The sequence below is a fragment of the Homo sapiens genome, chromosome 1 (assembly GCF_000001405.40).
Source record: "Homo sapiens chromosome 1, GRCh38.p14 Primary Assembly".
NCBI lineage: Eukaryota > Metazoa > Chordata > Mammalia > Primates > Hominidae > Homo > Homo sapiens.
In genome coordinates this window covers 113,860,859-113,876,274 of record NC_000001.11, presented here as the reverse complement: position 1 = coordinate 113,876,274, position 15,416 = coordinate 113,860,859, and the positions used below count along the sequence as shown (strand labels likewise).

The following is a 15,416-nucleotide window of genomic DNA, read 5'->3' as shown; positions in this document are numbered from 1 at the left end:
CAGTAGATTGAAAGATGGGTAGGGGGACTTTTCCTACCCGGGATGATGTGAAAACATGAGAAAATCAAACAAGCTTCGTTAAAGGTATTTTATAAGCCTCTTCTGTGTTCATTTATAAAAGGAAAAACAAGCCTACTCTAGAGATAAAGGAGGTCATTTATTTCTGGCCATTGCAGTTCTTCAGAGATGGACTCTGAAGCTCAGTATTGACACCATTCCTTTCATAATAATAGCCCTGCTGCTTGGGCAGCAGCATTCAGGAAAGTACCCTTTGCCAGGTTCCTGTGCCTCCATGTAGGAAGGCCCATCTGCTCCTGGCATAATGAAAGTGCCTAGCTAGAGACAAGAAGCACAGACTGTGCCAGACAAGAGACTTGGAGTAATTGATATAATGAGTAACCAAGTGAGAGTAGATCCCTCACCAAAGCGTAACCACATTAGCTACTTTATCACAACAGACTTATTTTTAGGTATACTCAAGACCATGTTAAGCACTGTGGGTTATACAAACGCATAGAATACACTATCATTGCCTTTGATAAATCTGAAAATACAGGGGACATCTTTTGAATAAACTCTTAAATAAACTTATAGGAGACAAGGAAATTGAATAAATGAAAACTTCTATAGCTGAATATACAGATTTATATTGAAGAGATTCAGACTAAGGGAAGATCATGGCGAAACAGAGTTAGGGGCAAGATTTTTGAAGAAAAATTGAGCTTTATGGTTTTATTTTCATTGTGGTGAAACTTAGGGGTAAAGGTGAGAAGTAGAAAAAAGTGGTAGTAGAACGAACGAGGTCTGTAGGTGATGTGCTTGGATAGGTTGGGTGGGGATAGTTGACAGGGAGGGGCTTGGTGACAAGCTAAGGAATCTGGACTTGTTCCCGTAGATCATCAATAACTATTCTGATTCTTTAGCATTAAAGTGCAGTTTTAAGAACTTTCATCCAGCCTTGGTTAACAGGAGATACTAGAATGGAAACATATAGATAGGAAGATACTCTAAGTTTATTGCTATAGGAATCCGGGTGTGAAAGTGGGAATGGGGCTAAGTGGGAATGGAAAAGACAGGTTGAATCTAAAAGACATTGAGGAGAAATTTCCAATAGGCCTTGGTGATCAAAAGAATGCTTACAAAGGACTGAATGTTTCACAGACAGTATATATATCCCATATCAAATCAATGACCCTGGAATGTAGGGAAAGGCAAGAGTAGTGAAACTAAAGCTAAGGTTGGGTAAGTATCTTCTCCAGGGTAAAACATGTCTCCCCCTCATCTAAAAGACAGAAGGATGTTCTGAGAATCCTGAATGTTTTTCCTATTGAATAGTTTATCTTACCCTTGTAGTCTTCCCTGAAATTCTCCTCAATTAATGTTTATTGTAATCTAATTCCTGACCTCTGTGATACTGATATTTCCCCTTAAACTAGCATACTCCCCTCTTCTTGGAACAGGTGACATGGTGACCAGCACTCTTCTCTGTTGTGTTCTTCCTTCTGACCAAGCACTACAGCCACATGAGGCAGCAGTGAGATGTGGCCTTGTCACTCCTCTTCAGGTGCTTATCCACAATTTACTTCCCACAATTTACTTGATGGTTCTGGCAAAATGTTTGTGAGTCTTTTTTTATTGCATGGAATTGTGTTCACTTAGGTTTTATGCCAGACTGGTTTAAATGATTCATCATAAATTCTGAAACTCTTTTAGGTATTTGCCAACCTTTACTGCATGTCTTGTTTCCCCTCCCCAGCTCTTTATCTTCCCGCAAGATACAAATGAGTCAACACAATCTTCATCAAAAAGCATTGTGCTCTGTAGAAGGAAGTGTGATAAATTAAGTAGTAGCTTATTTTTTTAAAAAAAAAATAATAGCTCCAGCTACTTGGAAGTCTGAAGTGGAAGGATCACTTGAGCCCAGGAGTTCCAGACTAGTCTGGGTAACATAGCAAGACCCTGTCTCAAAACAAAACAAACAAACAAACAAAAAAACCCAAAACAAAAAAAATAATTAAAGTTTTTTGTTTTCTTCTTCAGTTTGTTTTTTGCTTGCTTGAGTGGTCTGCTCAGGAAATGGCCTTGTAGCTAAGTGGGTTTTGGGGGTTTGGTTATTTCACAATGTCTCTATACCTTTTGGGTTTACAGTAGAATAGATTGCTGCTTGCTTTTTTAAAAAAGTGTGAAGTTCTGCCAAGACACTATTTACAGATTCTTAGATTTTGAGGAAAGGGACTATGGAGGCATCTAAGCAAAATTTTTTTTGTTATCTCCTATTTATTTCTGTCTTCTCCCTCATTAAGAAGAAACAAGAAAGTTAGTAAGAGATTGTGCTGAAATATAGGCTTGAGAAAAATAGATTTAAATTTTATTAGGCAGGTTTGCCTCATCAATTAATAAAAATTAATAAAGTTCTAGTTTTGTGTAATTGAGGACATTCTAAGGGTACAGAGAAATTATAAAACTATATTATCTTCTTTGTCCAAACATAGAAAATCATTTTCCTTTTAGGATTATGCTTTGCTACTCTGCAATTAAGCAAGTTAGTTTGGAATGTTTTTATTTTTATTTTCTTTCCCAAAGTTACCTAAGGAGTGTTTTAATTTTTATCAGTAATCATGTCTGTATCTTTAGTTCTGAGTTGCTTTATTAACTGGCTAAGGATGTTTTTGTTTTGTTTTGTTTTGTTTTTACCATATTCTGGCTTTCTCAGTGTTGTATGCCAATCTCCTAAGACAATGTTTAGAATTTAGTGGGTACTCAATAAATTTGTTGAACAACTTAATGGATTTTTAAATGTTTATTTCTAATTTTAAAAACGGTATGATAATTTTAGAAAGCAAACTTTATCATAATTCTAAAATTATGATAATTTTAGAAAGCAAACTTACACAATTGATTCTTTTTTGCTTCTTTTAGTCTTTAACTATGTACACACTTTTACATGGTTTTAGTTATTACAAACTTGAAATTTTGTATTTTTATAAATCAAAGATTTCCCATATTTTATGTTTTAAAATAGCCAAAGTAAACATCACGTTACTTAGAGCAGCAAGAAATTCTCTCTTAATTCTAGATGGGGATAATTTAAGAAATATACTATTCCTAACAAATATTGCTGAAGAATGAGGGTTTATTTTAATTTATGTATACTGGGATTGAGTTTCTTAATTTGAAATATTGTCTTTAAGTTGTCTATAACCAAGATATCTCGATGATCTTTCTTTTTTTTTTGCAGTACTTAGTAAAGAGCATGCAGTATCTTTAATGTTCAGATTAAGCAGTGTTCAGAATCATGATATCCTGAAGGAAGTTTGAATAATGTTGCAAAACAGAAAGGATTGCTAATATCTTAAATAGAGGAAGTCCTAACAACACATTTCCCAGTTTTCTTCAGGATCAAGACTAATTTTGTTAACATTTGTTGAACTTCTGCCTTCAATAAAGATGATATACTGATTTTTGGATGTTCTCACACTGAATTAGGCACTTGGGTAGACTTGTACCCATTGAGAGGTTATGCAAGCTCAAATGTGGAAAGTTTTTCTAGAAGAGCCTGCCTTTCAGGGCCAAAATGCCACAGGCACAGCATAACTTCCTGAAACAAATTTATTTCCTAAGACATTGGTTGCAGAGTAGAAATGTGTTCTTTAGAAACAGTTCTTCAGGCTTTCTGCCCTAAAAGTTACAATGTTGTCAGCAAGGTGGTTGATTTTACTTTCTTTTTGTTCCATCACAGTTTACCAGCATTACATATGCAGGGTATTGAGCTAACTGTCTGGTCAGGTGCTCCTTGTGGGGGCCACTTGCTCTAGATCCTATATAGACCAACACTCTTAGTCTTTATATCCAGAACCCAAGTGAAGCTTCAAAGGTTACTGGGAGGGTTGAAGAGGTGCTGAAATCAACACTTCCCTTAATGGAGGTCAGCACTTCCCCAGTCCTGGGAGAGACACAGACTGTCAGAAGCATCTGACTTTGCTTCATTCAAAAGGGAGTTTGAGGTATATATAGCAGACTTAAAAGTTATGAATAAAAATACCTTCTGTGATGAACAGAAGTTTCTCATTGATCACACTGACAAGAAACCTTTCGATGAACAGTCCGGGTAGAAGACATGTCACTCACTCTAAACAGTGTCTGTCTTCTTTCCTGGGCCTAACTGAACTTTGCAGAGTTCATTTGGGACATAAGGAAACAGAAGGTGTCAACTTGGCCCTTGTGCTCACTGGGAAAATGGGGAGAGACAGAACTCATTCAGGAGACCTGTAATTCTGTTCTTTCTCTGGGAGGCAAGAAGAAAGGTGAGTTTTGCATATGGGTGATGGAATGGAATAATCTCAGTTAAGCAGACCACACTTTACGTTCTAGTTAGCCTCTTGTTTGTTAAAAATTTGAATTGTAACCAGGTTCCTTTGCTGAGAAGGAAGGCACTAGGGCCCTGGAGTGAGATGATGGCTGTGTTATGTGACCACAGAAGGTGGTTACGTACTAATTTCCTCTAGGGCTTGTGATGAAGTCAGTAAACCACAGCCTTCAGCATGCTCTGCTCAGGCGGCAGCAGTGGCTTTTTGGAGGTGTCTCGGCCATGACACACATTTGACATGCCCTCCCTCAACCTACTTATAGACTATTTTTCTTGCTCTGCAGCATGGACCAAAGAGAAATTCTGCAGAAGTTCCTGGATGAGGCCCAAAGCAAGAAAATTACTAAAGAGGAGTTTGCCAATGAATTTCTGGTGAGTCCTGTATGTGACCCTCTCAGGGTAGTTACATACACTATTTAACTGACTATGGGGGTCCAATTTTCCGAGACCAAATTGCTCTTGGGATAAAGTAAATATGAGACCTTGGCGGGGAAGACAGAAAAAAAAAAGTTTGACTTCTCTGAGTGGTTTGCATGTATTTCAGGTATTCTCTCAAAATTACTGGTTTTAATATTTTGTTTGCTAGTTCTTTGGAGTTTGGTTAGGAATCCTACAGAAGACATATACAACTCCAGATGTAAAAACACTAATATTAATTGAACATCCAGATTTCCCCAGGTATCTAAGTTGTGGTTTATGCTTTATATTACTAATTTTAATTAATATTAAGAAGAAAGAGACCAATGTTAACTTTTCATGCAATATTACATTTTTAGCCTCCCCTCTGGGATTCTATTTGGTTGACAAAGGTTTTTGAAGAGCACCAAAACTACCCACTGCCACAGTTTTTTTTGTTGTTGTTGTTTGTTTTTTTAAGATTCAGAATCTTACTCTGTCACCCAGGCTGGAGTGCAGCAGTGCAACCACAGCTCACTGTAGCCTTGAACTCCTGGCCTCAAGTGATTCTCTTGCCTCAGCCTCCTGAGTAGCTGGGGCCACAGGTGTGTATCGCCATGCCTGGCTAATTTAAAAAAAAATTGTTTTTTTCTTTTTTGTAGATACGAGCCTTGCTTTTTTGCCCAGGCTTGTCTCGAACTCCTGGCTTCAAGCAATCCTCCCATCTTGCCTCCCAAAGTGCTGGGATTACAGGCATGAACCACTATGTCTGGCCATCATTTTTCTTTTCTTTTTCATATGAAAAATATATTATAACATGTGTTTTTTCAATAACAGGGCTTCCTTAACTTCTTTTGCTTGGAGAAGTGGAATGGCTAGGATGGAGAGTAGAGACAAGTGTAGGTCAAGGAGAGAAACATGAGTACAAGGTAGCTTCAGGTTGGGTGGATTAGATTACCCAGAAGAACAGTGAATCTCCTTTGAGAGAACTGTGATTATTGATGCAATGGCAGCTGGGTAGGCCTCATTCACCCTACAAGCTGAGATATCAGATAACATAGGGTGTCTAATAGTACCTATCATGTATTTTAGAATGCTTACAGCTGGCGTTTCAGAGATATAAGAATTTTAAACCTTAGCTCTTCAGTTGTGAAGAAATGGGTGGAAAGAGGGGAACTGAAGTACAAACCTGAAATTAAATCATGATTTTTTTTCACCAAATTATGAAGTATTTGACATGTTCTTAAATCTCTCTGTTTTCTAACTTATAAAATGGGGATAATAATACATGTCCTACCTATCCTCACAGGATTGTTGTGATGATTAAATATCAATAACAATCATTAAATGTGGTCATTTATTGAGTACCATTTATTGAGCACTTAGTATGTACCAAGTTCAGTTCTAAGCACTAAAAATACAGCGGTGAACAAAAAGAACCAAAACCTTTGCCTCCTGGAGCTAACACTCTGGTACCGGATAGCAGATGTGAAAACACTCTGAAAGTCTTGAGTAATTAGATATTATTGAGTGATTAGATATTATGATAGGAACTCCGATGTCAGCTCAACATGGATAATCTTGTGGTACTATGAAAAATGTGCTCTCACTGCCACTGGCTGATCAGTCTGAGCCCCTCTGGTAGAGTTACCTGAAAGGAGATAAGTAGGAAGTTCTAGCACATGTGTATACATGTCCCTGCCCCTGGACTATAATTCCTAAGCCAAGGTAACCCAAGGCATAGATGTAAAAAGTGAGCTGAGGGGCAGTGCCGGCCTCTGTTTTATTTTGGTTGTGTTTTTTAAAATAATGTAGACTGGCCGGGGGCAGTGGCTCACACCTGTAAACCCAGCACTTTGGGAGGCCGAGGCGGGTGGATCACCTGAGGTCAGGAGTTTGAGACCATCCTGGCCAACATAATGAAACCCCATTTCTACTAAAAATACAAAAATTAGCTGGGCGTGGTGGCAGGCACCTGTAATCCTAGCTACTCAAGAGGTTGACACAGGAGAATCGCTTAAACTCGGGAGGCAGAGGTTGCAGTGAACTGAGATAGAGCTGTTGCACTCCAGCCTGGACAACAAGAGCGAACTTCTGTCTCAAAAAAAAAAAAATGTAGACTATATCCCTAATATTTTACCTTTTCTCAGCTAAAGTCATTATAATTTCTCACCAAAATATAGCAGCTACCTCCTAACTGGCTTCTCTGCCTCTAGCCTTGCCCCACCTTCAGTCAATTTTCAGTTCAACACCCAAGTGATCTTTTAATCATACAAATCTGGTCTTTTTTTTGGGGGCGACAAAGTTTTGCTCTTGTCACCCAGGCTGGAATGCAATGACACCATCTCGGCTCACTGCAGCCTCCACCTCCCTGGTTCAAGCGATTTTCCTGCCTCAGCCTCCCAAGTAGCTGGGATTACAGGCATGAGCCACCACGCCTGGCTAATTTTGTATTTTTAGTAGAGACAAGGTTCCACCATGTTGGCCAGGCTGGTCTGTCCAACCAGGTAATCCACTCGCCTCAGCCTCCCAAAGTACTAGGATTATAGGCATGAGCCACCACGCCCAGCCAAATCTGGTCATTTTTTCCCTGCTTAAAAACTTGTTATAGTTTTTTTTAGCTGCTTAATATTGTGCAATATAATACACATTTAGAAAAGTACATAAAACATTTAAGTATAATTATAAAGCAACCATTAGCAGTGCAACCACTACCCAAGTCAAGAAACTGTCAGACCCCCGAAGACCCATGCCCCATCAGGTCCCCTACACCCATCTGCCCCTGTCCTGTCCTACCCTGGCCAAGGGATAATCACTATCCTGACTTTTATATTAATCACTTCCTTGCTTTTCTAGCTCCTGATTTTAAGGACCTTGTTTTTGGGTAGTGATTAAGTGTAACCTCACTGTTCACTGACTCATGTCCTCCAGTGGAAAAATAGAGTCTTCCTCTCAGCTCCATCTAAAGGTTTCAGATGAGACACCAGATAGAGAGCTTTGGGGGAGTAGAGGAGTAGTGAATGAGGCTAGACTGCTTGCTTGGACAAGGTAAATACTGCCACTAAATCAGAGGGCTTTCCATCTGGTCATGTTCTGTGTCCCATCTTAAGCCCTTAATGTATTCTCCCAGGATTTTATGTTTCCGAGGTTTGAGGACTCATTCTGTGACACAAGGCCACTGTTCACTTAACTGGTGGTAACTTTAAGGGAATTATCAAAAGGCATCTCTATTTCCAGGTAGATTCCCTGAGCATCCTAACCCCTTTACCCTCTCCCCAGGTCCATGGTTCAGATTTCAGTCTCCACTTCCTTCTTGGCCATACATCTTTGTACAGAGAACAATACAGATGGCTGTCTGTATCCCCAAGTTCTACATCCTTGGATTCAACCAACTATGGATCAAAAATATTTGAAAAAAATACCAAAAATAACACAACAACAAAAAATAAAAAATATAAAGCATAACAACAATTTATCTAGCATTTACATTGTATTAGGTATTATAAGTAATGTAGAGATGATTTAAAATATACAAGAGGTCATGTATAGTATGTGTAAATACTATGCCATTTTATATGAGGGACTTGAGCATCCACAGATTTTGGTAATTGAAGGGGGTGGTCCTGGAACCAGTCCCCCACAGATACTGTGAGAGGACTGTATTCATAATTGGATGTGGCAGTCCTGTTAATGGCAGCTGAAGCCAGTGCCATGCTGCTTATGTCTTTTCCCTGTGCCAGGACTAAATTCAGTAACTTTTCTGTAGTTGAAACTACCACTGACCACCCATCTAAGGTTTTTATACATTCATATAAACATTCATTGAGTGCTTATTGTGTGCAAAGTAATGCCCTAGATGCTAGGAATGCAATGCAATGCTCCATGCTTTAGTGGAGCTTATGTTATAAGGCAATAGATATGTCTTAGAGAGGCAGACATTAAACAACTAATTGCTATATTAAATATTTAATATAATTGTGATAGTCTGGGTGAGGTGGTCAAGGAAACATCAACATTCATTTTCTTATTTACTACTCCTTAAGAAAACCCTGTGAAATAGCTACAAATGTCATTTCTGACTTACAAATGAGGAAACTGAAGCTCTGAGAAGTTAAATAATTGGCCTAAGCTCACTCAGCTGTTCAGCCATAGAGATGAAATTTAACTCAGATCTGTCTTATTACAGAGCTGTAACATTAATCCTTATCCAATAGTGTTCTACTTCATCCAATGACACTGAGTCTCTCAAAGGACCTAGTTTTAGGGTAAGTTTTAGGGTAAGGACATAGTTAGTATAGTTTCTACACAGCAGAAACAGCAGGATGCAACTATACTGTTGAAATTTCTAAAGGTATTTTCAAACGTTCCTTATTATTGTTATAAAACAATATTATTGAAAGTTAAAAGAAAGTAAACTCACCATAATACCAACATTCTAACAAATCAAAACTTTTTTTGTGGATCTTGGCCAGGTGAGGTGGCTCGCGCCTGTAATCCCAGCACTTTGAGAGGCTGAGACGAGCAGATGGCTTGAGTCCAGGAGTTCAAGACAAGCCTGGGCAACATGATGAAACCCCGTCTCCACTAAAAATAAAAAATTAGCCAGAAGTGGTGGCACATGCCTGTAATCCCAGCTACCTGGGAGGCTGAAGTGGGAGGATCACTTGACCCCAGGGGGTGGAGGGTGTAGTGAGCTGAGATTGCACCACTGCACACCAGCCAGGGAGACAGAGTGGGACCCTGTCATACACACACATGAAAACCAACAATAGCTTTTTTTGTGGATCTTCTAGTTCTTGTCCATTTATGTAAATTTTTAATATTATTGTAATTATAGCATAGATACAATTTTGTGTTCTCATATTTTCACTTACCATTATACCAAAATTATCAGGCTGATTAAAATGTATATGATTTTTAATAGTTGATGATGCAGCATCATCACATGGACATATATTTGTCTATGTGGGTTTTGTTGTTGTTGTTGTTGTTGTTGTTGTTTTGAGATGGAGTCTCACTCTGTCACCAGGCTGGAATGCAGTGGCATGATCTCGGCTCACTGCAACCACCACCTCCCGGGTTCAAGCTATTCTCCTGGCTCAGCCTCCCCAGTAGCTGGGACTACAGGAGTGTGCCACCACACCCAGCTAATTTTTGTATTTTTAGTAGAGATGGGGTTTCATCATGTTGGCCAGGATGGTCTCGATCCCTTGACCTCATGATCTGCCTGCCTTGGCCTCCCAAAGTACTGGGATTACAGGTGTGAGCCACCGCGCCCAGCCTGTCCATCTGGTTTTATAATGAAAGAATAATAATCATAATAGAGAATGCTTCTATACCTCTTACAGACACTGTTCTAAACACTCATATATAAACTCATTTGCTCCATTGAGGAAGGTACTGTTTTCATTTCCATTTTATAGGTGAGGAAACAAACAGAGAGGTCAATTAACTTGCTCAGGGTCACATAGCTAGTAAGTGGTGGAACTGAATTTCAATTTCAGGTAGTCTTGCTTTGTCATCTGAAGTCATAAAAACTTTGGAGTCATATAAATCTTGGTTTGAATTTAAGTTATGCCCATGATTAGCTATGTGACCTTGGATTAAGTCAGTAAAATGTGGGAATAATATTCACTTTGAAGAACTGCTGTGAAGATAATAAGTATATAAACTTCCTGAGACATAGTAATACCCAAATAATTTATTTCTCCATTGTTAAACAGTTATTTCTAGTTTTTCATGATTATTGATAACACTAATATGAATATATTTTTCCATGTGGTTTTTCCCTTCTTTTGGATTAATCCTTAGGCTAGATCCCCAAAAATGTTATTACTGGGTCAAAGACTATTAGCATCTAATTGGTTAAGTATTACCAAATGTATTTCCAAAGGAGTTTTTCTAATTTGCAATATATGAATTTATCATCTTCTCTACCACCTTGCTAGACTTAATAAATATAAAAGAGAATAAAAGATGAAAACATTTTGCCTACTTACTATGTACTAGGCAATCTGCTAAGTGCTTTGCCGTACGTGATCTCGTTTAATCGTTACAACTACCCCAAGAGGAAAATATTATGTTCATTTTTACCCATGAAATGGAAAAGCCCGGATTTGAAACCAGTCTGTTTTTTTTCAAAGCCTCTTAACCTCTGTACTTAAACTGTATCAGGTAAAAATCATGACTTTTTTTCTGATATAACTAGCATAAAATAGTACTTTATTATGTTAATTTCATTCATTGGATTTCTGAGCCTTAAAATGTTCCATGATTATTTTAAATCTGCATTTCCTTATATACGTTTTCTGTTCATCTACTTTCCACAGTAACAACAGCTAATCCATAGAACTGTGTTCCAGACTCTGTGCTAAAAGTGCTTCACAAATAGAACTTCATTTACCTCCCAAAGAACCTTTTAAAATGGCTATCAATGTCCTACATGGTGTCTCTCCAGCTTCTTATAGCATGCTCATTTTCTTGTCCTTGCCATGCTTCCTCTGCCATAGGGCCTTGCACACATGTTGTTACCTCCGCCTTGAACATTCCTCACACTCCTCTTTACCTAGATAACATTTGGTAATTTTTTTTTTTTTTTTTTGAGACGGAGTCTCGCTCTGTCACCCAGGCTGGAGTGCAGTGGCACGATCTCTGCTCACTGCAACCTCTGCCTCCTGGGTTCAAGTTATTCTCCTGCCTCAGCCTCCTGAATAGCTGGGACTACAGGTGTGTGTCACCATGCCCGGCTAATTTTTTGTGTTTTTAGTAGAGACAAGGTTTCACTGTGTTAGCCAGGATGGTCTCTCGATCTCCCGACCTCGTGATCTGCCCACCTTGGCCTCCCAAAGTGATTATAGGCGTGAGCCACCATGCCTGGCCTTTTTTTTTTTTTTTTTTTGAGACAGGGCCTCACTTGGTCATCTAGGCTGGAGTGCAGTAGTGTGATCATGGCTTACTGCAGCCTCAACCTCTAGGGTTCCCATCTCAGCCTCCCAAAGTGTTGAGATTACAGGTGTGAGCCACCATGCCCGACTAATAATTCTTTAGATCTCAATTTGGTGGTCAATTCTTCAAAGAAAGCTTTCTTTTCTTTTCTTCTTTTCTTTCTTTTTTTTTTTTTCTGGAGACAGGGTCTTGCTCTGTCACCCAGGCTGGAGTGCCGTGGCTTGATCATAGCTCACTGCAGACTTGACTTCCTGGACTCAAGTGATCCTCCAGCCTCAGCCTCCCAAAGTGCTGAGATTACAACCATGAGCCACCACACCTGGCCAGAGAAAGCTTTCTGGACCTCTTTGAATAGATCAAATCTTCTATTGTAAGTTCTTATTAGCACCATTTGTTATTTTTCATAGCACTTACCACAATTTCAGTTTTTTGTTTGTTTGTTTGTTTGTCTGTTTTGAGATGGAGTTTTGCTCTTTTTGCCCAGACCAGAGTGCAATGGTGCGATCTTGGCTCACCGCAAGTGACTCTCCTATCTCAGCCTCCCGAGTAGCTGGGATTGCAGGCAAAGTTGCAGTGAGCCGAGATCGCGCCACTGCACTCTAGCCTGGATGACAGAGTGAGATCCCATGTCAAAAAAAAATATATATATATATATATATATTTATTAAATATAAAGGATTCATTGAATCCTAACAGAAAGAAGATACCTAGTTCTGAAGGCCAGGTTTAGGTGCTAACAGTTTAAACTATACTAGAAATCAGACTGGTACTATTGCAACTTCTGGAGATTCATTAGAAGACCAGAGACATATCAAAGATCTGGCTACATCTTGGTTCTATAAAGGAGACATAGATACATCCTGGTTCTGTGTATATTATAGTAATGATACTAACCAAACAGTTATCAACAAGGTACTTCCTACAGAGCAAGTGCACAAACATCTATGAATTGACACTACTCATTCCTGTGAATCAGCCTATCACTTGAACATATTTATCAGCATTTCTTGACCTTTGTGCACATTAAGGTGCAATTTTTAAAAATGCCACCACCAGAATAAATGTATCACATCACCTCTGAAGCTGATTTCTCTAACACCATCTCCAGCCTCTCACTAGGGACCATCTAGTCCTACATTTTCATTTACTCACAGGACACTTAAAACACATTTCTTGGCTGAGCGCAGCGGCTCACGCCTGTAATCCCCACACTTTGGGAGGCTGAGGCAGGCGGATCACTTGAGGTCAAGAGTTCAAGACCAGCCTGGCCAACGTGGTAAAACCCTGTCTCTAATAAAAATACAAAAGTTAGCTGGGCATGGTGGCAGGTGCCTGTAATCCCAGCTACTCAGGAGGCTGAGGTGGGAGGATCACTTGAACCTGGGAGGCAGAGGTTGCAGTGAGCCAAGATTGCGCCACTGAACTCTCTGCTGGGTGACAAGGCAAGATTCTGTCTCAAAAACCAACCAACCAACCAACAACACACACATTTCTTGCCATTTTCTCACATTTTATGTATCTAAAGTTGAACCTCTTGGTTTACTCACCCCAATTTAGCTATTGCCTACCCACCTACCCATTTGCCCCACTATTGCACTGGAAACTAACCTCGATAAGTTTGTCAGTCTTGTTGAAGATGATTGCATTGCACGCTCGTACAATTCAGTCTTGTCCTCCATTCCTACTGGTAGTTCTCCTGATTACTGGATTTAGAAGCCTGAGCTCCTAATGCCATTCCTTACCACTTGTACTTCTTCTGTCCTGATGGAGGCTTGGTATAATACTGACCTATATTTGCAAGGCACTGAGGAACTACCTTGCAGAGTTCTCGAGACAGCCAAACTTTGTGTTCTCCCACCTAGCACAGGAGGGCCAAGTTTAATTTTCCTCTCCCTAAAATGTATCTAAAATGCTACGTCTTCTATCCAGTAATGTAGTCCTTCAAGGCAAAGATATCGTGGTCTTGTGCTTTCTTTTACTTTCTGTTCTTTTTTGGGAGTGACTTTATTTTATTTACTAGTCTGTGAGAATAACATGCAAATGACTCAATCCGAATTTCTAGAATCTAATACTCCTTGTTATACTGGCCAGGATCCCCATTCTCCTCTCCTTTCTTGAAACGAAAGGGGTAGTATCATCTACAAACCAAATGAACTTACTATTAGCTTATCAAGCACACACAGAATCTGGTTTCTCACACATTCCACCCTATTTCAGGGCCCACGAGGGATGTTGAGCTCTCTCTTCACTTTATTCTCTTTTTTATTTTTATTTTTATTTTTTTTGAGGCGGAGTCTCACACTGTCACCCAGGCTGGAGTGCAGTGGTGTGATCTCAGCTTACTGCAATCTCTGCCTTCCAGGTTCAAGCGATTCTCCTTGCCTTAGCCTCCTGAATAGCTGGGATTACAGGGGTCTGCCACCATGCCCAGCTAATTTTTTTTGTATTTTTGGTAGAGACGGGGTTTCACTATGCTGGCCAGGCTGGTCTCGAACTCCTGACCTAGTGATCTGCCTGCCTCGGCATCCCAAAGTGCTGGGATTACAGGTGTGAGCCACCGCACCCAGTCTCTTCACTTTATCCTCTTGGCAACTATTCCCCTGACTTCTCTTGATGGTACTTCCTCTAGGGAACTCACACCCCTACCTTGTAGTTGGCAAAGAAATACCTTCACCCTTTAGATCTCATATCTTTTCTTCACAAACTTAAACCCATCCCCATGACCCTGCTTCCTCTTTTATACCCTTTTGCTTTCTACTTTCAGGGTTCCTCCTTTTCTGGTGTAGTTTATTACTTTTTCTGCCCTAATTTTGCCCTAATTTGTTCTTTCTTGGGATATTGGAGCCCGGGAGTCTGGCAGGAAGAGAGGTGGAAGAGAAAAATGAAGCCTGCCGGGCGCGGTGGCTCATGCCTATAATCCCAGCACTTTGGGAGGCCGAGGTGGGGGGATCACTTGAGGTCAGGAGTTCAAGACCAGCCTGGCCAACATGGCGAAACCCTGTCTCTACTAAAAATACAAAAAAAAATTGGCCGGGCGCGGTGGCTCACGACTGTAATCCCACCACTTCGGGAGGCCAAGGCGGGCAGATCACGAGGTCAGGAGTTCCAGACCATCCTGGCCAACATGGTGAAACCCCGTCTCTACCAAAAATACAAAAAATTGGCCAGGCATGGTGGCGGGCGCCTGTAACCCCAGCTACTTTGGAAGCTGAGGCATGAGAATTGCTTGAACCTGGGTGGCAGAGGTTGCAGTGAACCGAGATCATGCCACTGCACTCCAGCCTGGGCGATAGAGCAAGACTTTGTCTCAAAAACAAAAACAAAAACAAACAAACAAAAAAACAGAAAGAAAAAGGAAGACTTCACAGTGGTATGACCTTAAGATAAGATGTTTGAGGGAAAAAAATCAAATCTTTCATACATTACAAATGAATAATTCTGTAGGCATTTCCTGTGTGATGTTTTGCTAAGAGTGTCTGCTTTTGTCATCCAGCTAGATTACTCGAGGGGGAGGAAAGGAGTAGGAAAAATGAAAGCCATTCTGCCTTATTGTTGAAGGTAGCAGTGAAGGCAGCTAAACAAATATAGGACACACATACACACACACACCCATCACCTTTATCTGTAACATTTTGCCAAATTAATTGAAGGATATCTTACGCAAAGGGCTTTGTGTATAGCATTCTCCCTAGAAAGCGTTCCACAAGCA

The 15,416-nt window shown here is 40.0% G+C and overlaps 1 protein-coding gene and 1 long non-coding RNA gene across 15 annotated transcripts in view, besides 2 other annotated features; one reads left to right on the top strand and one right to left on the bottom strand.

Annotated features, from left to right (window-relative positions):
- AP4B1-AS1 (AP4B1 antisense RNA 1) overlaps positions 1-15,416 on the bottom strand; it is an 88,626-nt gene that overhangs the window by 24,963 nt on the left and 48,247 nt on the right. The window lies entirely within an intron of this gene.
- PTPN22 (protein tyrosine phosphatase non-receptor type 22) overlaps positions 4,516-15,416 on the top strand; it is a 57,949-nt gene continuing 47,048 nt past the window's right edge. For 8 of the 13 annotated variants that reach the window (XM_047417630.1, XM_047417631.1, XM_011541225.3 and 5 more), the window contains exon 1: positions 4,516-4,738. In XM_047417630.1, coding sequence (XP_047273586.1) covers positions 4,652-4,738 — 87 coding nt within the window. In that variant the 5' untranslated portion in view covers positions 4,516-4,651. Of the gene's footprint in view, positions 4,739-11,997; positions 12,078-15,416 lie in introns of those variants that run through there. The other 5 variants (NM_001308297.2, NM_012411.6, NM_001193431.3 and 2 more) reach the window with 2 other exon arrangements.
- Positions 4,558-4,817: an enhancer, noted in NCBI's record as "active region_1538". NCBI's record gives its function as "activates an Ori minimal core promoter by ATAC-STARR-seq in GM12878 lymphoblastoid cells {active_cell/tissue: GM12878}" and the evidence as "EXISTENCE:reporter gene assay evidence [ECO:0000049][PMID:35858748]".
- Positions 5,376-5,425: an enhancer, noted in NCBI's record as "active region_1537". NCBI's record gives its function as "activates an Ori minimal core promoter by ATAC-STARR-seq in GM12878 lymphoblastoid cells {active_cell/tissue: GM12878}" and the evidence as "EXISTENCE:reporter gene assay evidence [ECO:0000049][PMID:35858748]".